Source organism: Homo sapiens, chromosome 6 (assembly GCF_000001405.40).
Source record: "Homo sapiens chromosome 6, GRCh38.p14 Primary Assembly".
In the NCBI taxonomy this organism is placed as follows: domain Eukaryota; kingdom Metazoa; phylum Chordata; class Mammalia; order Primates; family Hominidae; genus Homo; species Homo sapiens.
The window spans coordinates 81,514,778-81,539,393 of record NC_000006.12 but is presented as its reverse complement, the minus strand read 5'-3'; the positions used below and the strand labels follow the sequence as shown (position 1 = coordinate 81,539,393).

General features: G+C 36.0%; 1 long non-coding RNA gene across 9 annotated transcripts in view; it reads left to right on the top strand.

The window, feature by feature from the left end:
* Positions 1–24,616, top strand: part of LOC105377871 (uncharacterized) — a 105,003-nt gene that overhangs the window by 10,851 nt on the left and 69,536 nt on the right. For 2 of the 9 annotated variants that reach the window (XR_007059659.1, XR_007059660.1), the window contains one exon: positions 4,483–24,616. This is a non-coding gene — a long non-coding RNA (uncharacterized LOC105377871). Of the gene's footprint in view, positions 1–1,755 lie in introns of those variants that run through there. The other 7 variants (XR_007059658.1, XR_001744222.2, XR_007059663.1 and 4 more) reach the window with 6 other exon arrangements.

The window sequence follows — 24,616 nt, the reverse complement described above, 5'->3', positions numbered from 1 at the left end:
CTTTAGAGGAAAAATAGATAATTTTTTTAGACAGATAATTTTTCTCAAAGATGGTAACAGAACAGAGAACAAAATTGAGAATTACTTTTGATTTTTATTCAGGCAAATTGGTATGTAAACATAATACATATTGTTAAGTAATTATAATTAGGTTATGTATTATACAATATATTATAAAAATGATTGTGTTATTCCAGTCTCACACTGGACTAATATAAGGACACTATCTGAGACTGGGTAATTTATAAAGAAAATAAGTTTGATTGTCTCATAGTTCTGCCTGGCTGGGAGGCCTCAGGAAAGTTACAATTGTGGCAGAAGGTGAAGGGGAAGCAAGGCATGTCTTACCTGGCAGCAGGCAAGAGACATTTATCAAACAACCAGATCTCATGAGAACTCCCTCACTATCATGAGAACAGCAAGTGGGCAACTGCCTCCATGATTCAATCACCTCCCACCAGGTCCCTCCCATGACATGTGGGGATTACAATTCCAGATGAAATTTGGGTGGGGACACAGAGCCAAACCTTATCAGTGATCTCAATTATTTAGATTTTACTTGGACATTAGATGTGTCTTCAAAATGGATTGGAAGATTTAAAAAATCACTTAAGGAGCCTACCTTTTGCTGTCATTAATGTTGTTGTTAAAAGGTAAGCATCAAGGGCATTTTTATCATTTTAATATTCCTAGCTCTATTGAAACCTGTGACTTAGGTGCCAGATTCAGCCCTGAGCCTGAATTTAACTGATTTTCAGGTTTTCAAAAGTGCCACAGCTCAAAAGATAATTTCTATGAGAATCACCTTTGTAATTTTCTCAATAAGAGTAGAATCTTTCTAAAGATTAATAATTAGGCATATGAAACACTGCAAAGAATGGTAAATTAGTTACATAAACATTTAAGTGTACAGTAGATAACAATACTTATTTTGTAGGTCCACAATTAAAGCAAAGAAATACGTCTAAACTCCAACTGAGAATCCAAATACACAGAGCTGATAGTTCAAAGATGATCTTAGCAAGGGGGTTTTTCTTTGACCTTTCTATTGAAATGACAGAGAGTTGTTTTATAAAGAAAAAGAAGATCCATAACTGCATTACAAATAGGATGTGATGCTGTCAGTACAATTGAAACTGAAATTATGAATGATTTCTGGAGAACATAATTTTATTGACAGATAATCAAGATTAGAAGACACAACTGGAAGTCCTACATAGTCAAAGGAGATGCCTTACATATGTTAGGAAAGTTTTAGGTTTAGTTAGCAGGCCTCTGGGAAAGGGGTTGTGAAACAGCAGTCAGGATAGTTATTTAAAAGTCTGTCTGCAGGCTAACAGGACCAATGTGACCCTCTGGAAACTCCGCACAGAGTAAGTGACATCAGTGGCATTTATTCCCTAGATTAAGCCAGATAACTTCTTTTGAAAGGAACTAAGTAGAGTGTAGGATGGGGTAGCATGTTCAGTATGACATTTGTCACCTGAGACAGAAGCAGAGCTCACTTCTGAATGCATGAAAGCTCTACAACCATACAGAAGAAATTTAAAAGAAAACCTTTTGATATGGTTTGGCTGTGTCTCCATCCAAATCTCATCTTGAATTGTAGCTCCCATAATTCCCACATGTTGTGAGAGGGACCTGGTGAGAGATAATTGAATCATGAGGGTGGTTTCCCCTATACTGTTCTCGTGGTAGTGAATAAGTCTCACAAGATCTGATGGTTTTATAAGGGAAAATCCATTTTGCTTGGTTCTCGTTCTTCTCTTGTCTGCCACCATGAAAAACATGCCGTTTGCCTTCCTCCATGATTCTGAGGCCACCCCAGTCACATGGCACTGTGAGTCCATTAAACCTCTTTTTCTTTATAAATTACCAAGTCTCAAGTATGTTTTTATCAGCAGCATGAGAATAGACTAATTTAGTAAATTGGTACCAGTAGAATGGGGTGCCGCTGTAAAGATTCCCAAAAATGTGGAAGTGACTTGGAAGTGGGTAACAGGAAGAGGTTGGAACAGTTTGGAGACAGGAACAGACGAAGATGGAACAGATGGAACAGATGAAGACAGGAAAATGTAGGAAAGTTTGGAACTTCCTAGAGACTTGTTGAATGGTTTTGACCAAAATGCTGATAATGATATGGACAATGAAATCCAGGCTGAGGTAGTCTCAGATGGAGATGAGGAACTTGTTGGAAAGTGGAGTAAAGATGATCCTTGCTATGTTTTAGAAAAGAGACTGGTGGCATTTTGCCCCTGCCCTAGAGATATGTGGAATTTTGAACTTGAGAGAGATGATTTAGGGTATCTTTGGAGGAAATTTCTAAACAGCAAAGTATTCGAGAGGTGACCTGAGAGGTGCTGTTAAAAGCATTCAGTTTTGAAAGGGAAACAGAGCATAAAAGTTTGGAAAATTTGTAGCCTGATAATGCAATAGAAAACAGAAACCCATTTTCGGAGGAGAAATTCAAGCAGGTGCAGAAATTTGCATAAGTAACAAGTCAAATATTAATCTCTGAATCAATGGAGAAAATGTCTCCAGGGTGTGTCAGAGACCTTGGCAGCAGCCACTCTTATCATAGGCCCAGAGGCATAGGAAGGAAAAATGGTTTCTTGGGCCAGGTCCAGGGTCCCCCTGCTCAGTGCAGCCTAGGGACTTGGTGCCCTGTGTCCCAGCCACTCTAGCCATGACTAAAAGGGGCCAAGGTACAGCTCGGGCTGTTGCACCAGAGGGTTCAAGCCCCAAGCTTTGGAAGCTTACACATGGTTTTGAGTCTGTGGGTACACAGAAGTCAAGAATTGAGGTTTGGGAACCACTGCCTGGATTCCAAAAGATGTATGTAAATTCATGGGTGTTGAGGCAGAAGTTTGCTCTAGGGTTGGGGCCCTCATGGAGAACCTCTGCTAGGGCAGTGAGGAAGGGAAATGTGTGGTTGGAGCCCCACACAGAGTCCCCACTGGAGCATTGCCTAGTGGAGCTGTGAGAATAGGGCCACTGTCCTCCAGACTCCAGAGCTGTAGATCCACTGACAGCTTGCACTTTGTGCCTAGAAAGCTGCAGACACTCAATGCCAGCCCATTAAAGCAGCTTGGAGGGAGACTGTACCCTGCAAAGCCACAGGGGCAGAGCTGCCCAAGACCATGGGAACTCACCTCTTGCATTAGCATGTCCTGGATGTGAGACATGAAGTCAAAGGAGATCATTTTGGAGCTTTAAGATTTGGCTGCTCCACTCAATTTCAGACTTGCACGGGGCCTGTAGCCCCTTTGTTTTGGCCAATTTCTCCTATTTGGACTGGGTGTATTTACCCAATGCCTGTACCCCCATTGTATCCAGCAAGTAACTAACTTGCTTTTGATTTTACAGGCTTATAGGTGGAAGAAACTTGCCTTGTCTCAGATGAGACTTTGGACTGTGGACTTTTGAGTTAATGCTGAAATGAGTTAAGACTTTGGGGGACTCTTGGAAAGGCATGATTGATTTTGAAATGTGAGGACATGAGATTTGGGAGGGGCCAGGGGTAGAATGATATGGTTTGGCTGTGTCTCCATCAAAATCTCATCTTGTATTGTAGCTCCCATAATTCCCATGTGTTGTGGGAGGAACCCAGTGGGAGATAATTTAATCATTGGGGCAGTTTTTCCCATACTGTTTTTATGGTAGTGACTAAGTCTCATGAGAGCTGATGGTTTTATAAGGGAAACCCCTTTTCACTTGGCTCTCATTATTTTCTTGTCTGAGGCCTCCCCAGCCACATGGAACTGTGAGTCCATTAAACCTGATTTTCTTCATAAATTCCCATCTTGGATATGTCTTTATCAGCAACATGAGAACAGATGAATAAAAATTCTCAGACTGGGAGAAAAATATGCTAAAGTGCTTCATTCCCAGAATAATATTCTTGTTATTTTGTCATATGGGCAGCCTACCTGCTTACCTCCTGTCCACACATCCTAATATGATGCCAACCAGTTAGTATGTCCTCACTTACTTGCTGACATGGATTCTTTGCTTGGCCAAATTTTAGTCACGTCTTCTGAACATTCTTCTAGGCCCATCTGTGCACTTCCTTGTAAAATACTGTTTTAACTAAGTCAGTTTAGCAACAATCCCCAATCTCAGTGTCTGATCACCCTTGGTAGCTGATCATATTACTTATCCTCCCTTATCCCCCAGGTGATTTCTGATCTTTCTGGTCTGTTTTTAGCAAGATCCTGTTAGGTTGGTTTAGCCAGAATTCCCCTTACCCCTGATGTTTCTGCTTAGTAATTTTCCATCCTCTGACTACCTCATCTGCTTCTTGGCTACAGATTCTCACTTGCCCCTGCTGTATTCGGAGTTGAGTTCAATCTCCCTAGCCTATTGTTAAGACTTAGTTGTAGTCATTCCTGTAGCTACTGCAATGATCCTAAATGAAGTCTTTTTTACTGTGCTTTAACAAGTATCATTGAATATTTTTTTTCTTTAACATTACACAAAAAGGAAAACAGCCTGTTCATTTCATGGAAGGACGTTTTGGAAAAATAGATCCAGACCTACATAGAAAGGTATGACAGCTACCTTAATTCATCCATCAAGACCTTTCTTCTTAATTGTGAATTACCAACTATAGATCATCAGAGAATTTAAGAAAATCGACAAACTAAATGCAAAGAAACAAGCTAATGAAATAGAACAAATGACTAAAGGAAACAGAAGTAATTCAATGAACATAAGAAAACTTAAAAAATATTCTAATTACATTCTCAGAAAGATTTGAGTGCACACTACATACATTAGAAGAGAAAAATAAAGGAAAATCAGACTGCTATGAAAACCAAGTAAGTATTTTTGGAACTCAAACATATTTTCTGAAAATGTAAGAAAGAAATAACTAGAAAATCTACATACCAAACTAATGCTGTATTCTGAAAAACAAAGTTGATAAACACACAAAGCATAGAACAAAAACTGGAAAATATGAGTTATTGAACTGATGAATTATTGAACATCATCTCAGGGACTTTGATATCTCTCTAGCAGTTTTAGAAAAAGAGTATGAGGAAAAGTTAAGATGTAGAAATTATTTAATATTAAACATTTTGTTTTAATAAAAAAAGGCAGTGCGAGTCTTCAGACTGAAAGAACGAACTCACTGGTGATATGTCAGAACTCAAATGATAATAAATAAGTTGAAAAAGTTTCAGAGGGGAAAAATGGGCTACTGGAGGGTGCTAAATACTCATGTAACAACAGGAACTAAGGAAAGGCAGAGGTCCCTGATTTTGATGCCTTGAGGAATTGCTTCTGTGAGCAAAGATGGATTTATAAGCAAAGTATTGCGACAAATGAGGTAAGTATTCACATCCTACTAGGGTTCTGGAGAAGAAAGAACTGCTGATCCTTAAGGGCTCAGGAGAAACTTCACAAAGCAGGTGTCATTTGACCTATGTCTTGAAGCGCAAATATGAGTTTACCTTAAATGTCAGGAAATCAGAAACAAATACAACAATGTGTTCATTTTAGCTGACTGGGAATCTTCTCTTCTTTTGCTTCTTATTCAAGTTTTATTTTCAATTTTATTCCTGTTACTTTATTTATACTGTGTTTTTTTTCTACTGTGACTTTAAACCTCTTGTAGTAAACAAACCACGTAGCTTCAATAAATAAACATTTAGTTTCTTCATCAAATGTAAAAATCAGGTATAGGTTTTATATGTTTTAGGGAACTGAATAAAAATAATTACATGTGATTCTTAATTTTTTATGAGCTACTTAGATAGGATGATACTATTAGTGGAAGAATATGATCAACCTAGACTCTTTGACAAGGAATGAAATCTTCTATAGATTAAACATTCAAATTACAAGGCTTTTTATTTATGCCCAAACAGAAAAGATAAATAAGGAAGGAACATTTTGTGTGAGGAGGGTTAAAGGAGACTGCAGTGTAGGTGTGATAATTTTGGTAGCCTAATTTGTCATTTAAATATTTATGAATAAAGAGAAAACAGGATGATGAAATCTGAAAACAAAACAGTATGCTTTTTCATTTTCAAGGACCATGGATTTCCATAAATTATTTTCAGATAAGGATGTTTTAAATTGATGACACAAAGCAGTGGCAAATCTATTAGTGAGTCAGTAAATTGATGAGCAAGCTTATTGAGTACACCTTGTATGTAGAACTCCTCATTGGCTATTTTAAGAAAAGCTTTGTCAATATCAATGCTGATGACTACCCTTGGGAATAAACTGGTAACATTTAGAGTTTCCAAAATGAAGCCAAGCCTGCTTCAAAATTTTCCTGTTACATGTTTTTTTTCAAATTCTTATTATCACAATATTTGGAAATTAGGGCTTATGTTTTAATAATGCAATTTACCTTTGAGTAAAAAAAGAATTCATTTTTTAATACTACTTGTTTACATATACATAAAATTTGAAATAAAATAGAATACTGAGGGTCCTTTGCACCCAGTTAAATTGAATTGGACTTCTTAAAAAATTGTCTTTCATGATCTTTCACTTTAATAATGTGGAACTGGCTTATTGACCATTCAAAAAAGAAGGAAAACACTAATGTTTGGAAGCAGAGATGCTGTGCAGCTTCAACCCTTAGCCTAGGGTTGAATCTTTTCTGAATCTTTCCTAGGAATCTTTTCTGAAACCTAGCAACATTAGTCTGACCATAAGGAAACCTTGAAATAAATTCCAGAGCCTGCTTTCTGTCTTTGGTAAAAGGCTGCCAGGCTTGTTTGAGATGGCAATGAAAGATTTACATAAGGCATCTGATTCTGAGAAAAGGGATTACTTGTAGGTACAAGTGAAGGATTTCTAAATTTCAAACAGAAAACTCAATCTCTTCTGTTCAGAGCATTCAGGAAATCTGAACCCCTACAAAAAGCCTTACTCCATCAATGGAATGTGATGTTATGATTTCCTTCGCCTATACACACTATGCTTGTGGTTTTCCCTTTTGTACAATGAAGCTGCAGACCTCGATGGACTTAAAACCTCTTTCAGGTTGTTAAAAGACAAAGTTATAACATATTTGAAAGTGAAACTCTCAACTGGCTTTTATTTGTGATTCTAAAATTGGGCAGCACCTCATCTTACAAGGTAGAATGAGTGTTCCAATGAACTGAGCTAAACAGGTTAGTTTTGTAGACAAGGAGCTGAGGAAAGCAGAAACAGAGAACAAAAATCAGATTGGTTGTTTAAAGTTAATTTCCTTGTAAGTGTTAGAGAGCACTTCCTTATCATGTTGGCTAAGACTGGCTTGTTTGGGAATTTGGCTATTATCTCTCACTCTCCTGATTTCTCGGCAGGTCAGATAACTTACTTTTGGCTTAGTGACATGGAACTTTATAGCATGAGTGACTCCATTTTGTTTTGGTCTGTTGGGTCTAGTGCAGGAGTTCAGTCCAAACCAATAGTCTCCTATATATTTTATTTAATAAGCTCTAATGGTCTGAAGATTTTGCAGTTCATTTTTTAATTTTCACCCACATAACCCATATTTACTAATTTAAAAAAATGGATATACATTATTTATCAGTATTTGTACAGCTGTCTAAATGACTTTATGTTGATGTGTGTTGCTACTGTCAAGTTCATATTAGAACTTCTGGGGAAGCAAGGACCATATCTTATTTGTTTGGTACCAGAACCTAATCCATTGAAATATGTTGTAGAAAAAAAAAATGAAAAATGTGTGTGTGTGTGTGTGTGTGTGTGTGTGTATAGATTGATGGTATGATTTTCAAGTTATTGACACAAAATGAGTGTGAATGTGATTGTGGGAGAGTGGCTTGAAGAAAACAGAAATGAGACTGGGGAGAGAAGGGACACATTTTAAACCAAAATTTCCATTTCCTTAAACTTTATAGTGTCTTGATGTGTGACCCAAAGATGCCAAAGTGAAGGAAGCAGAGCATAAGTCTCCTACCTACTAACATATTTTAGATTTATGTAATTTGCTATTTTTCCAAAGAGGCCGAAAATTTCCAAGTGTAGAGCCATTAATCAGTGACTAAAGAGACAGATGGTCTAAAGAGAAGAAGTACTGCTATACAGTTTTTATCTGAGTTCTGTTAACTGTCTCCTAGAAAAACAATTATACAGGGCACAGAGAATACCTGAAATTGAGAACATGGCTCTTCAAAGTCCATGAAACAGCAGAATGTAGAATTCTTTCAGTACACAAATTATTTGGAGGAGTTTATGATTGTAGTACTTGAATTAGATGAAAAAGCCCTTGAGTTAGCACTGTATTTAGAGGTGGGTACAATGTCTGTTGGGCTAGAGTCTGGTCTAGTTACTTTCACGGTTGTATGATTCCTGCTCCCCTCCAACTTTGCTATGCCATCGCTCACCATGATGTTTACTACATACTATATAATTACATTAATGAGATCTTTGAGGTATTCATTATCTAATTTGAAGGCGAACTGGAATGTTATCATTGGGGTGGCTATCATCCGTTGTTTCAAATATTACTTTAGGGGATATGTCATCTTTGTCTTCTGTCATCCTTATCTGACTGGTCCCCTCCCCAGTCTGAAACAATTGCAAGTCACTTGGTAATTACGTGTCATTGTAGCATCTTCTATTTGCATCCATCTCAATGAGATTATGTCTTTTCTGTCCTTCTGTAAGCTTCTTGATCGTACACCCTCATGTGTTTATTTAGTACATATAATCTGCCCTGGTTCCAAGACATTCCTACAGAAGATATGTAGTACTTAGTGCATACATGAGAGTCTAAGTGAATAGATAAATTCTACCTGCTATCTCTAAAATTATCTAATTTGAAATAACATTTTCACTGGGATACCCTTAGAAATTAGACCCTGGGATGCTTTATGTCTTGCTTTTCTTCTCACACTGTTTTGTTCACTCAAATTGTTATCAAAATAACTGGAAAATTTACTCACAGAAACAAACTAATTATTCCTACTTACCTGGACCCTATCATTAGGAGAAAATGTGGTTACAACTAAAAAATAGCAACAATCTATTCAAGATGCAAACATATTCCACCATCCTACTACATCACAAAGTCCAACTTGGAGTCTCACAATTGTGCATTCCCAAACTCACTCACAATTCCCTGGGTGCCAAGAGGTCTCTGCTCGCACATCCTGGTTACAAGCCTTGATGTTATCTTATGCCTCTTTCCTTCTATCCCCCTAGGTTCTCCTGTGTGTCCCTCCACTGTGCTTCCCTCTGTGCTAAATGACTGGTTTCCCCCATGAAATGAGTTCTTTCCTAGGACATTGTGAATCCATAGGACACTGAGGATGCTCAATCATTTATAGAAAAGGCTTTCAGTCCTATTCTCATTACTCCAGTAATTCTATACTCTCTAAGAACACTATCTGTCATGAAAATGCCCACCTTCTATTGTCCTGAAGGCCCGGTATTTTTTATTCTTTGCTCTGTCACCATAGGGCAGGACTTTTGTCATCTGCTAGATAGCATATCAACTACTAGGAAACTTTTGTAAAAGAACAACGATGACAACAACAACAACAACAACAACAACAGCAATACCTGTTATCCTTCTGAATACTTTATTCAAACAGCAGGTAATGAAGTCTTCCAAAAAAAAATAAATAAAAGCCCAAAGAATTATCAGCAATCATCACATGCACATTGACTGTATGTTCTAGATTTTCTGACTCGGTTTATATTTTAAGTATTTTATTCTACTGTCCCACTAGATATCTCATATTTAGGATAATTATTAATTTATTCCATGAATATGATAACCAGATGATCATGAGTGATACCAATTTTGAACCTTATTAGGAAGGGAGATAAAACTTAAATAGCCAGATGTTTTTAGAAAAAAAATTGTTTTGAATAGGAATATTCTCCAGATTTGTTTTCAAGGGCAGAAAGAAAGTGGGACAGTCATCATCATTACTAAATAATATATGATTGCCAGATTTTTCAAAACTAGCCAAATATTGATTGGAAAAAAATTTTTGAAAGGCAAAATTATACTATTCTCAAATGTTTTATAAGATATTCCTGAGCTAAATTTTAATGCTAAGAGCAGATAGTTGCATTTAATGTTTAGAACAGATATCCTCTGGAATGTACAATGGTGTTTTTGAGAAATGTTATTTTAGTTTTAGGAGAAGAGATTTTAGTATTTTCACATTCATTCTCCTAGTCAAATCAATTAGTTTTGGCCGAAACTACTTTTTGAGCATCCATCGAGTGCAGAGTACAGTAAGGTCCTTATGCAATTATAGTTCTTGAGCCATGAATAAGAAATAGGTTGATTATAATAGGTTGTCTAAACTCTGTTCTAGTTGTTGCAACTGGGTGGTTTCAGTGGGCTTCATTTTTAATAGGCAGCTGCTTCCTGGGATTGGTATGGCCTTGGTTTCATACTCTGCTACCTATTAATAAAAGGTGGGCTTTTGGAGATAGATTTAGAGGAAATAACTGAGACAGTTTATTTTGTAGTCTATCTATTGCTTTTACAATCTTTTACCACCATTACTCCAACATTTGAAGTGAAAAAACAGGAAAGAGCAAATAGCTTATTAAAAACAATAGTGATAAACTTAACAATTTCTGTTTAGATCTTGATATATCTTATTTGGCTAGACTTCTCTACAAAGTCTTCTGCTTCCTGGGAACTTGCTGATACCAAGTCCTGGGAATGGGAAAGGAGGGGACATGTAGACACATTTGAACTATGGGTGTCCCAGTGAGTCACTTTACTGAAAGGTTGTCCTCTTGGGTGACTCTGAGTTTCTTTTAAATACTCTTCTGTCCCATTTCTTGGGTTTGACCAAGTGGGTCTAATCAATTTGATCTTTTCCCACTAAAGTAGTCCTGATGGCCCTCACATCTTGGAAAATTTCCCCTTATGAGTCAACCAAAGGGACAGAAAAAAATGGCTTTTAATATTTCTAAGATTTGAATTGAAACCCTTTATATCCCAATGTACTAGATGTGCAGTGTGCAAGTAATTTCCCCGAGCACCAAATTCTGAGTACAAACCTGTGGAGATAATTATAGTATCATCAGCTCTACAGGGCAGATACAAGGTTTACCTACCATCTGGGAGAACGTTTATGAAACATTAGCAGAAATTTGACAAAATTTAATCTCTTTACTTTTCTCTAAGATCATATGAAGTAATATTTATTGAGCACATCCAAGTGCTCAGAGCTTTACATATAGTATCTTATTTAAAATAGTCATCTCAATATTTTGATGAGGAAGATGTCTTCCCAATTTTAAGGATAAGAAAAATCAGCGGATTTATAGAGAGATTATGAAGCTATATATATAATCAGGAAGATTCCAGACTCATGTTTGAATTTGGATGTAGCTCACTCAGAAGTCTCTTCACTATATGAGAAGGTTACATTGCAAAAAGTCATAGGTATTAAGTAAAGAGTAGTGTCTAAGTTCTTAATTTCTGAGGAAATTTCGCTCCTTCCCAAGCAACAAAAGGGAGATAATTAGACGGATTTTTAATATAAAATGCTTGACAATGTTTAGTATTTTTCATTAGAAGTCAACTTCTTAGCAAATATGCTTTATCTTTATTTTTGAACTCATTTTAGAGCATTTATTAATGCTGTTTATTAACATATATTTGAATATGATAGTATAGTTGGCATTTGATTTTTTATGTTAAATATAGAGACTGCTGATACAGTTGGTTCAAGAATCAATTAATTGTGGCCTTATTTAGTATTTATACTGATGTTTGTTTACTGAAATAGGAATTTACAAAAAATATAAAAAGTAATGCCAAACTTCTAAATTGTTTTCCATTGGATAGAAAAAGCTTAATTACTTATTTATTCTTTTCTGCTTTGCTGTCTTTCAGGTTTCCCACTTCATGCTAAAAAGTGGTAACATTGCATGTCAGACTGAAGAAAGACACCTGAGTCTATGTTGAGTTGTGTTTGGCCCCTTGCAAGGTTGTCATAAATGATTCATTGTTTTGGCTTAAGGGGCTTTCAGCTGGATGACAAAGCATAAGGACAAAAAATATGAAATTTGTCATTAAATGTCTTCATCATTTAGCCTGTTTAATTGTGCTAAGATCTTTTAAGAAACAATGAATACAGAGATTTCCAGATTATACTTCCATGAAAGCCTAAATCTTCTCAGGTATTCACAGTTTAAAAAAATTGAAGTATACCAAATGATATCCAAGTTTACTGTGAAAGCAAATGGCCCATAAAATTTTGCATTTACATTTGAATTTTAATCTAGAGAGAAGGAGACCACATAAGTAAAACACAATCTATCTCATAGGCTGAAGCGTCAGGTATTACAAATGTATGTGGTTAGCTTCTCTTTATTTAGTTCTCATTGATTTAGGTACTAATTCTACCCATTCTTTGCTTTAATCATTTAGTATTAAGAAATATTGACTTTCATCAGAGCTTAATATACAACTGGCTCCAAATCTAGAAAATCAATTTAAATTCTTTATAGTAGTATGTAATTGGTTAATTCAGTCATTTTTAAAACAATATATTTGTTTAAAAATATTTATTTTGCTAACCAGCTACCAGACATTGTTCTAGGTAATTCTTACAGAAGTGCGTAAGACAGATAGTGTGGCTTCCCACATAGGGCATATAGATTACAAAGAGAAGACATAGCTAAAGAATTAAACCAATAATAAAAACATCAAATTCTCTGAAAAAAAGAGCTGCTGCCAGTATCAGTGAATACTTCTTTCATGTAACACAAACTGACACTTAAAGAAAAAAAAAAAAACACTCAGCCATGCAAAGATGTAAGTAAAGAGAATTCTGGGTGGAAAGAATAGGATAAGTGAAATATTTCAAGCATGGAAGATCTAGGAATCTTTCAGGAACTGAAAGGAGGCCAGTATGATTGGAATAGAGAAAATAGGTAGGCCAGGAGGTCAGATGATGTAGGCATTGAAGGACAAGATAGGAGTTTGCATGCTGGTCAACAATTTTAAATCAGAGGGAGGGAGAGGGAGAGGAAAAGGGAGAGAGGCAGAGAGTGAGAGAGAGGTAGAGAGAAAGAGAGAGAGGGAGTGAGAAAGAGAGATCAAATTTACTTATTTTGCCAATAGAACTGTTGTGTGAAAAATGAACTGAAAGGAAGTAAGGGGAGAAAAACAGCAAAGAGCACATTTAGGAAGTGAAGATAATGAGAGTCCACTCAATGATAAAGGTTTGGACTTGGACAGTTTAGTAGAGAAGTACACAAGAACGGTTGTGAAATATATCTTAGAAGTATAATTTGTGGAGTTTTGCTGATTGATTAAATATGAGGCATGAGAAGAAGGAGAGAAAGGAATGAAATATGTCTACCAGGAATATGGGTTGAACCATTGAGTAGATGGTGGTGCAGGTGCAATTTACTGAAGATCTGGGATGAACAGGTTTTGGAGTGAAGATCCAAGTCCACTTTTTTATGTATTAAATTTAAGATACATTTTAGACATTAGGAGACATTTGTGGCCACTATGACATATAAGGCTTTAGCTTATTTGAGAGGTTCAGACTGGAAATATCTATTTGAGTAGTTAGTATTTTATGTGCAAGCCATATAATTGAATGATATTACATAGAGAAAAAGTGTAGAGTGAGAAAAGGAGAGGATCAAAGACTAAGCACTATAGAATGCCTACATTTTTATTGTAATTATTATTATTATTATTCTTATTCTGAGACAGAGTTTCACTCCTGTCGCCCAGGCTGGAGTGCAATGGCACGATCTCTGCTCACTGCAACCTTTGCCTCCCGGGTTCAAGCGATTCTCTGCCTCAGCCTCCCAAGTAGCTTGGATTACAGGCACGTGACACCACGCCTGGCTAATTTTTTTGTATTTTTAGTAGAAACGGGGTTTCACCATGTTAGCCAGGCTAGTCTCGAACTCTTGACCTCAGGTGATCCACCCACGTCGGCATCCCAGAGTGCTGGGATTACAGGCGTGAGCCACTGTGCTTGGCCTATTTATTTTTTAAATTGACAAAATTCTATACATTTATTGTGTATGATGTTGTGTTTTAAAATATTTTATGCATTGTGGAATGGCTAAAACAAGCTAATTAATATATGCATTACTTCATACCCTTACAATTTTTTGTGTGTGATGAAAACATTAAAGTCTACTCTTAGCAATTTTCGAATATACAATACATTGTTATTAACTACAGAAACCATGATGTTCAATAGATCTATTGAACTTATTCCTCTGTCTCACTGAAATTTTGTATCTTTTGACCAACATCTTCCCAATTACCACTCACCGACAGTCCTTGGTAAGAAACATTCTACTCTGTTTCTATGAGTTTGACTTACTTAGATTCCACATATAAATGAGATCATATGGCATTTGTTTCTCTGAGCCTGGCTTATTTTGCTTAACATAGTATCCTTCAGGTTCATTCATGTTGTCTCCAATGCCAGGATTTCCTTTATCTTAAGGCAGAATAGTATTCCACTGTTACGCCACATCTTCCATTTATCCACTACTGGACACCTTGGTTGATTTTATATTTTGGCTATTGTGAATAGTGCTGCAGTGAACATGGGAGTGTAGATATTTCTTTGACATGTTGACTTCATTTCCTTTGGATATATACCCAGTAGTGAGATTGCTGGATAATACGGTAGTTCTATTTTTAATTTTTTGTGGGACCTCCATTGTGTTTTCCATAATAGCTGTACTAATTTACATTCCCATCCACACTGTACAAGGATTCGCTTTTCTTGCATTCTCATCAACACTTGTTATCTTTCATTTTTCTGAGACTAGACATTCTAACAAGTGGAAGGTAATATCTCATTATGGCTTTAATTTGAATTTTTCTGATAATTGGTGAAGTTGAGTATTTTTTTCATATGCTTGTTGGCCATTTGTATGTCATCTTTGGAGAAATGTATTCAGATCCTTTGCCCATTATTTTTTAATTGGGTTATTTTTTTCTATTGAGTTGTTTCATTCCTTATGTGTTTTGAATATTAATCCCTTAGCAGATGTATGGTTTGCAATTTTTTTTCATTCTATAGGTTTTCTCTTCATTCTGTCAAATATTTCTTTGCTGGGCAGAAGCTTTTTAGTTTGATGTAATCTCACTTCTCTATTTTTGCTATTGTTGCCTGTGATTTGGGAGCTACATCCAAAAAATCACCACTGAGACTGATGATACAAAGCTTTCCCTCTGTTTTCTTCTAGTCTTTTTACAGTTTCAAGTCTTAGGTTTTAGTGAACTACATTTTAAGTCCAAGTCAAAGATCTGAAACTGGAAAAGGAGAGTTATGAGTGGACAAAGAGATAAACCCGTTTAAAGAAGTACAGAATAGCTCATGATATTAAATGATGTTCGTTGCTTTATTTTTAAAAATTGTGCCTGTTGGACATGGAAACAAGAAGTATTTGGTGATCCCAGTCAGTGCAGTTCAATTTCATTGAACTAATTGGAACAGCAGCAAGGTCATGGTGGGAGAGTGAATGTGAAGTAAGAAAGTGGAGACAAAGAAATTGTATGAAGAATTGTTTCTATGAATGGGAACACAGTTGGAGAGGTTTGGAGGGACAAGTAATAATATTGATTTTAAATATGGGAGGTATAAGAGATTCCTTTTTAAAAAGTTCTTGATAAAATGAGAGACATAGATGAGTCATTTCTGGAATCTTTGACTAAGGCAATAACAACTTATTCATTTTATTTTATCTTTTATTCTGAATGATGATGATGATGATTTTTTTAAAGTAAATACTATCTTCCTGTATCTCTAAAAAAAATGACAGCATGTACTTTTCATAGAATGGGACCTGAATGAGGGTTTATTGAAGAGTGAATAAATGTACACATTAGTATAAATACAGATGTTCTTATATGTCAGGTATATATTAGAAAAAGACAATTTTGTTCTTTACTGCTCAAACTCAACACAGAACATTTCTGTGACCCCAGATGTGTATGTTTGTGTGTTTTTTTCCCCACATTGACCAATTCTCCAACACTAGCCTGTTGGGCTATAATTAAATTCAGTCCTGGCATGATCTACCTAGAGCGAGAGTCAAATTCCACAGATGAAGGCCTCAGTCCTACAAGACTGTACCCTACTTCAGATTTAATCATAAGTCCAAGTCTCCATCTCCAATACATCTGATCAATTGGCTACATATTGGGCTTCCCATAACCCTCTCCTCAGCTTCCATCATTTGATCTAATGGCTTATGGAAATCAAGGAAATGCTTTGCTTACTACTGCCTATTTATTTCAATGGATATGTTAAAGGATACCAATGAGCAGCTAGATGAAGAGGTACAGACAGTGAGGTTTGGAAGGGTCCCAAGTGCAGGAACTTCTGTCCCCATGGAGATGGAATGTGCCATGCTACTGGGACGTAGATGTGTTCAGCAACCCAGAAGCTCTCCAAACACTGTCCTTTGAGGATTTTATAGAGGATTCATTATGTACATATAATTAATTACATAATTGGCCATTGGTTATTAGCTTTACCTTCAGCCCCTCTTTCCTCCCTGGATGTTGGGGGCTGGGGCTCAAAATTTCAATTCTTTAATCACAGGCTGGTTCCCCTGGCAACCAGCCCCCATCCTGGATAATATCCAGGATGCCCCCATATCCAGGAACCCACAGCCATGCTAGTAATCTCACTAGGACACAAAAATACACTTATAACTTTAGAGATTTCAAGGGTTTTAAAAGCTATGCACCAAGAAATGACTGCAAAGACCGTAAATATATTTATTATTGTGTCATATCAGGTTACTTTAAGCTTGTCCATTCTGTTTTTTCATCTTCTCAAAATATGTGCCAGAACATTGTTTGTTTATATGCCATTAATATTGATACTTAAAAATAAATAAGTTGGTTTGCTAAAACCAAAACACGTTTCTGAAGAGTTTTGACTTATCTCTCAAAAAAAAAATAGGAAGAATAATGATTCAGTTAGCAATTTAAAAACATTCATTAATCCCTTTCTAGATATAAAGCATTATGATAAACCATGTAAGAGATTTCAAATAACTTATTTGTGGCCAATAATTGGGAAATGTATGGTATTTAATAGTATGTATTTCTTTCATTTCTCCCAATCAGAACTTCTAATAATCTTACTTTTTAAAATTTTATCATATTTTATTATTTATTTTAATATTATTTTAATCATCATACTCTAACTCCACAAGCAATGTTAAATTCTTTATGGATTTATGATTAATGTTGTATGCAAAGGTGAATGAATGAATGAGTCAGTGTATAAATAAAGAGTTCATACATAAATAAAGACACATATCTCATCCCAATGTATAGTTTTAATTTGGGGACAGGGAGTTGAATTTTGGGGTAGAGATATAGATAACTAAAAATTGTCTATAAAAAGTATTTAAGAAGTTTGTAATTTTACTGAATTTCTGGAGTGAGAATATCATGTTTTATGGCAGAGGAAGTAGCATTTTGAGAGTTTGAGATAGCCCTAATTGTTTTATAGAATTAAAACATGTATATAACCAAAGCAGTGATGTAATCCATGGTGGAGAAATTGTAACATGGAAAAATCCACATATCAGAAAACATCTCACATAATTTTATAAAATTATTAAAATTTTATCAAGTGGAGGAAGAGCTGTCAAGTAAAAGACATTTTCAGTCGTACAGAATATTATGTCTAATTTGCATTTCTCTGATGGCCAGTGATGATGAGCATTTTTTGATGTGTTTTTTGGCTGCATAAATGTCTTCTTTTGAGAAGTGTCTGTTCGTGTCCTTCGCCCACTTGTTGATGGGGTTGTTTGTTTTTTTCTTGTAAATTTGTTTGAGTTCATTGTAGATTCTGGATATTAGCCCTTTGTCAGATGAGTAGGTTGCGAAAATTTTCCCCATTTTGTAGGTTGCCTGTTCACTCTGATGGTAGTTTTTTTTGCTGTGCAGAAGCTCTTTAGTTTAATTAGAACCACAATGAGATACCATCTCATACCAGTTAGAAGGGCAATCATTAAAAAGTCAGGAAACAACAGGTGCAGGAGAGGATGTGGAGAAATAGGAACAGTTTTACACTGTTGGTGGAACTGTAAACTAGTTCAACCATTGTGGAAGTCAGTGTGGCAATTCCTCAGGGATCTAGAACTAGAAATACCATTTGACCCAGCCATCCCATTACTGGGTATATTCCCAAAGGATTATAAATCATGCTGCTATAAAGACACATGCACACATATGTTTATTGTGGCACTATTCACAATAGCAAAGACTTGGAACCAACCCAAATGTCCAACAACGATAGACTGGATTAAGAAAATGTGGCACATATACACCATGGAATACTATGCAGACATAAACAATGATGAGTTCATGTCCTTTGTAGGGACATGGATGAAAATGGAAACCATCATTCTCAGCAAACTATTTCCAAGGACAAAAAACCAAACACCGCATGTTCTCACTCATAGGTGGGAATTGAACAATGAGAACACATGGACCCAGGAAGGGGAACATCACACTCTGGGGACTGTTGTGGGGTTGGGGGAGGGGGGAGGGATAGCATTAGGAGATATACCTAATGCTAAATGACGAGTTAATGGGTGCAGCACACCAACATGGCACATGTATACATATGTAACAAACCTGCACATTGTGCACATGTACCCTAAAACTTAAAGTATAATAATAATAAAATTAAAAAAAAGAATATTGTGTTGAAAACAAAAAGGGCAAGGAAAGCAATGTGTTGGGAAGAGTGGGTAGGCTGACAAGTGAATAGCACTGCAGTTGCTCAGTACTGGAAATATAGATTTGATTTTTAGAATGAAAGACCTTGAATGCCCTACCACAGAATTTTAAAATATTTCCATAGGGCATCCTGTACTTGGTTTTATGTTCTAGGAAGCCTAATATGATGATGGTTGGTAACAGCTTAGGAGGAATGGATGTGGAGTTAGGAAACTAGTTAGGCTTCCTATTGCAAAGATCCAGATGTGAGCCATTAGCTCAACTGTGGAAATAAAAAGAAAGGGAATATTGAGTGACATGCTACAGAATAAAATATTTTCAGGACCTGGCAAGCAAGTGAGTGAGAGGGAAGAAGAAAGATTACTTCAAAGCTTTGAACTTGTGTGACTGGAAGAGTGGTGAGATGAAGCTAGGACAGTCAGAAGAACTCATTGCAGTGTCAGCATAAGAAGGATCATTCCAAACTTCTGGAGTTTCCAGTGTTGGCTGAAAATCAGGTGTCAGGGACTGGTAGGCAGTTGACAACATAGTGAGAGGGGCGGGACTAGAGATCATTAATTTGGGGCACCTTGGTATAAAGGTGGTAGATGAAGACTTAAAAGGGTTGGCATTATGAGGAAATCACACATCTGGAGAGAGTAAGAATTTAAAAAGGAATAAATAAAAATCAATGTTTATTTGCATTTCCTCCCTTTTCTTTATAGTCCTGAAAATTGACATCATATGAGAGACTGATTCTTTAACAGGGGGAATTGATAATATGAATGGGTGGAGTCTATGAAAAAGACCAGAGATTTTGGCAAGTATATGCTAGTATTAAGAGTATTGATTGCAAATGTGGATCCTGGAAACAAATTTAGGGTAGAAGACAGCAGTGATTTCAGAAGGAATTTGTTATAAATAATATAATGTGGGTAACTTTTTGAATGTGGTAAATTGTAGTTGAGGCTACGAGATGTATTTAGGTATAAAATTACTTATGTATTAATAAATAATAAGGGAATTTAGGTTTCTTTAAAGAAAATGAACGAATAGGTTCTAAAAATGGGATTTGCGAGGGGCTGAACAGCTGGAAAGCAGATGGGGTTAGGGTGGAGTGAATAGAAAAGTCATTATTAAAGAGAAATGTTTAATCTTCCATGTCTTCTGTTTGATTTGGTGGCTTTATAGTGGAATTTGAGGCATCATTTGGCAGCTGAATGGACTTGGGTTTTGCAGTAAAATTTATAGGTGGTATAACGTGGTTTTGTAGAGAATGATAGAGTGTGTCTGTTATAAACTCTTCATAAGAATTTCTGTTACCAAATTTTGCAAATATAGTAAATGTTATAAGGATATCAAAGTATTTAAATTGTGGTATTCCCTCAGGGTTTTTTTATTTCTGAATTTATATGTGTGTATGTATTTTTAATATATTTTATTTTTTAGAGTAGTTCTAGCTTACAGCCAAAATGTCAGAAAGTAAAAGACCCTAGTCCCTACACCCTTAGTTCCCACACATACAAACCTCCCTCACTATCAACATCCCATACATGAGTGGTAGTTTTTTGGTGAACCTCGAGGTCTTTTAAATGTAACATTGCAGACAGCCTGTCCCCGTATATCCTGTATAAAGTAATGCCTGTATCAGCTGCTCTTTGGCCTCTATCCTCTTCATTTCCTTCAAAGCACTTATTCACTTACCAAATATTATAATACATCTTGGTAATTTGTTCATTTTTCTGCCTACTGCCCTAGATCTTAGGATCACTAAGGTAGGTACCCGGAGCTTCTTGTTTACTGTGGTGTGCATCTCCAGTTGTACCTGACACAAAGTAGATTCCAATAAATATTTGTTGACTGATAGACTGGCTGACTGATGGAATAAGAAATGGTGAGTTTCCTATTAAACTACATGCGCTTGAGAAGAAAATTAGTTTCTTACTCAGCCTCATTTAACTCCCCATCTCTCCTTCCTTTCTGCTTCCTCATTCACTTACTTGCTCTCTCTCTCTCTCTGTGTGTGTGTTTGTGTGTGTGTGTGTGTGTCTAAGATACAGCATTACCAGCATTTAGTATAGTGTCTGACACGTAATTGGCACTCCAGAAGTATTTACTGAATTAGTGAACACATTAACTCATCCGCCCATCAAACATTATGTTTGTATCTTCTTTGTATTAGACATTCTTTTAGGCTCTAAATATGTAAATAATATTGACACTCAAATAAATAATTACAGACTAAAAGGTGAGATGACTGTTCCGTTAAGAGGGGTGCACCAGAGGCTTTAAGAGGAGAGAAGAGGGGCACTTAATCACAGAGTGGAGGGGCAAGAGAAAATAAATGAGAGTGAGTGCTACCTTGAGCTGAAAATTTCAGAAGAATCACATGCCTCATAAGTGCTCCCAAATATGTATTCAGTTGAATTAAACATGTATCTTTAGCAATAGGGTAAATCAAGATGGCGATTTTCAAATGTGGGTTCTGTAGGCTAAAGCATATATAGCAGAATATACTGGAAGCTTTATAAAAATAATAATCTCCTTCCCCTTTTAACACCTGAGATTCTGTTTTACAAGGCATTTATTTTGGTAAAACACTGATGTGGTCGCCTCCCTCACCCTGGTAAGGGAACCCTACCCTAACAGAATGGATTTTGCCATCTAAGATGGTGACTTTATATCCTAAAAGGATCCTCTGGCCTAAGTTAAGCCATAAGTGCATACCATTACTTTTATTTTGCTTTCAGGAGATGTTTTTCATTTTCATTTTTTATTCTTTATTTAATAGGTTTCATATACATCTTAGAATTTAAAGTGTTACTTTAAATATGCTTCAGTTTACTTTTTTATGTTCTATGATTAACTATTCCTTTACTTAAAATAAAATTGACATAAGGCATTTTTCAAAGACAAGCTAGCAAACGATTATTGAGAGAAATGGCAGTACATACGAGTAAGATATGAAACTTAGAGTTTCCTTTTGGAATGGTGCATGAGGGAAGTCTAAATGAGCTATGTGTATATTTGCTTACATACATATGCACATGTCTAAGGTCCATCAGCAACTAGCTAACAGATGTCTGTGTTAAAAGCTCTTCAGTTTGAAGTTATGTATAATAAACTGACGGGTTCTATTTTAATTCAAGGCTCTTGGCAAATGTTTATTGAAACTTACAATGTGATACTGTACTTGTGTTTATTCTTTTCTCCTAAGATTCATTTTTGTTGTTATTGTTCAATGACATGTTGTTGTTCGAAGAGTCCCTAATTGGTGGCAGTTGAATATATTGTTGATTATTAGCAATGACTAATTCTGTCCAAGTTTTAATATTCAAGCTAAAAGTGTCAGAAGAACATATTTAATTTTCACTTTGAAAAAGAACAGGGTCCCCAGTTTTCCTAATGACTGGAAGAGAAGGAAGTCTCCTTAAAATTTTAGCATGCAATTTCTAGGCATAAGATTTTATATGGTACTTATAGAAATAGTTTATTCCTGCTGATTTTAGGATAATTATTTTCTTTGCTTAAGCTAAATTGTTCTAGATAAAATGAAAATGCTGAATTTTCAAATGTAAAGTTCATTTGAAACGTGTAAATCCAACAGTATATATAACTAATTGTGATAGACATGTAAGTTTTATTTGTTTTTTAATATCTGGCCCCCATCAGATGTCTGTATGTTAAACCCCCCTTCTCAGTTGGTGGTGAATGATATCTGGATTAGATTATATAATGTTATCTATTTTTAAAAATTAAAGCCTTATTTCAGTCCTAAAATTCCAAAGTTGTACTTGATTTTAATAGCTTTCTTATAATTGTTCCCAACCCCACTCCATTCTCCTTTTCCTTCTCTATAAGTCCCATCCATCTTCTTCCACCCTTCTAGTCCTGTGTTCTTAGTGGACTACAGTGAATGTGTGTGTGTTTGTGTGTGTGTGTGTGTAGGAGTGGGGGTAGAAGTGGGGGTATGGTTAAGATTGGAGTCAGGGTGATGTGAGTCAGGTATGAACGTTTTGGTCTCACTATAAAACTCCTCCTCTATTTCTAGATTATCTGCTGTGCTAGGTAGAGCCAAGAGATCACCAAAGTTACTTTTCATATTAATCTAGTAAATACTTTTATATAAAACTCTAAATCTGGAAATTATTTCTTTAAACTTTTAAAGCTATAGAAATCAAACTTCAAAATATACCTCTTTTCGTTTTTCTTTTGACTTTTCTTCTTCCTTTCACATTCTTTATATTCTTCACTTCAATGCTTGAGCATGGTGTTTATGCCACAAAAAGAGTCATCTTGTTTTATGAACTATTTAATTTTGTGTTCTCCTCAATTCTGTCTTTAATTGAAAATAGTCTTTTGAGAAAAAACGTTTGTTTCCCCCTGGAACAGTATAACTATTGTGCAAAGTTTACAGTATTATGCAAGAAGCTATAAAAATTATTAGTAACAGCATGTCAGATTTTAGGTATCACTATAAGGGTAACATTTTGTTAGAAAAAGCTTTCAAAAGTGTGTTTGATCCAGAGTGTCAAAGCATATGTGTTTGGGGAGACATTTAAAAAGTGAGATGCCTATTTCTGAAAGCATATTATTAGAAGCGTCTGCTGAAAGCGTGATGCAAACTTACCCTGGCCAGGAAATTGTTGTCAGGCTGACATGCCACTTCTAACTTACGTCACCATTGGATTCCAATCATATTGGTTTGGCACAAACTAAGCGACCTTCTTTAACATATTCACGTCATTCTTATTTTCTAGGTCATTGTGTTCCTAGTCATGTGCAAATACATTTTTTATTAATTATATAATTTGCTTTAATAGCAATTTTGATGCACAGATGAATTTATGAATATTATGAAATCTTTTCCAGAACAGTCAGAGAGTTGAGTTAGCCAAATTCCCTTGGCCAATTAATGCCTGGATGTGGCTGTTATCTCACCAGAGCAGAACTTCTGGGACTTAGGTATAAACATCTTCAACCATAATAAACTCGATGCTATTTAGGAACACACCAGAAACAAATCTCTGCACTGGTGGGGATTCTACTCTAAAAGGATAAGTACTATATATTGATGTAAAGAGAGATTACAGTTAGTACTAATTAAGCAAAAAATTTTGTTGATGGGTTGTAGGGGATATTGAGTAATGAATTAATTTTAAAAAGAAATAGGGGGATAATGACAGCGCTGGATGAAGAAATTGTATAGGATTAAGAATTTTTTTATTAAAGTAAGACACATAGGTGGGGAAGAAGTCAGGAGGGCCTAACAAACCAAGAACCTATGATGAAATAGAGGTGGGAAGGGCAGAACTGGGAAGTTGTGCTGGATACAAAATGGAATTTGTGGTGAGAAATGATGGACAGAATGGAAACCAGTGGGATAATAGCAAGGAGGAAAGCTTAGAAGATAAGGAGCGGTCAGAAGAGACCCATGAAACACAACTTGTGGAGTGGTTTTTTTTGTTTGTTTTTGTTTTTTTTTTAAATCTGTGTAACACACTGAAGCCTTCTGTTTGTCCTTGAGTGACATGATCAAATAGTGTTGGAGTAAGATAAATTTCACATAGGGTTTTCATGAAGGAAGAGAGAGAAGTTAGGAGCAGGGAGACTCATTATGTGAATATGTATAATTTTCCTATTTAATTAATTAATTTTATGATACAGAGTCTCACTCTGTCACCCAGGCTGGAGTGCAGTGGCCTGATCTCAGCTCACTGCAACCTCCGCCTCCTGGGTTCAACGGATTCTCCTGCCTCAGCCTCCTGAGTAGCTGGGACTACAGGAGCGTGCCACCATACTCAGTTTATTTTTTTGTATTTTTAGTACAGATGGGGTTTCACCATGTTGGCCAGGCTGCTGTCGAACTCCTGACTTCACGTGATCCACCTGCCCCTGCCTCCCAAAGTGCTGAAATTACAG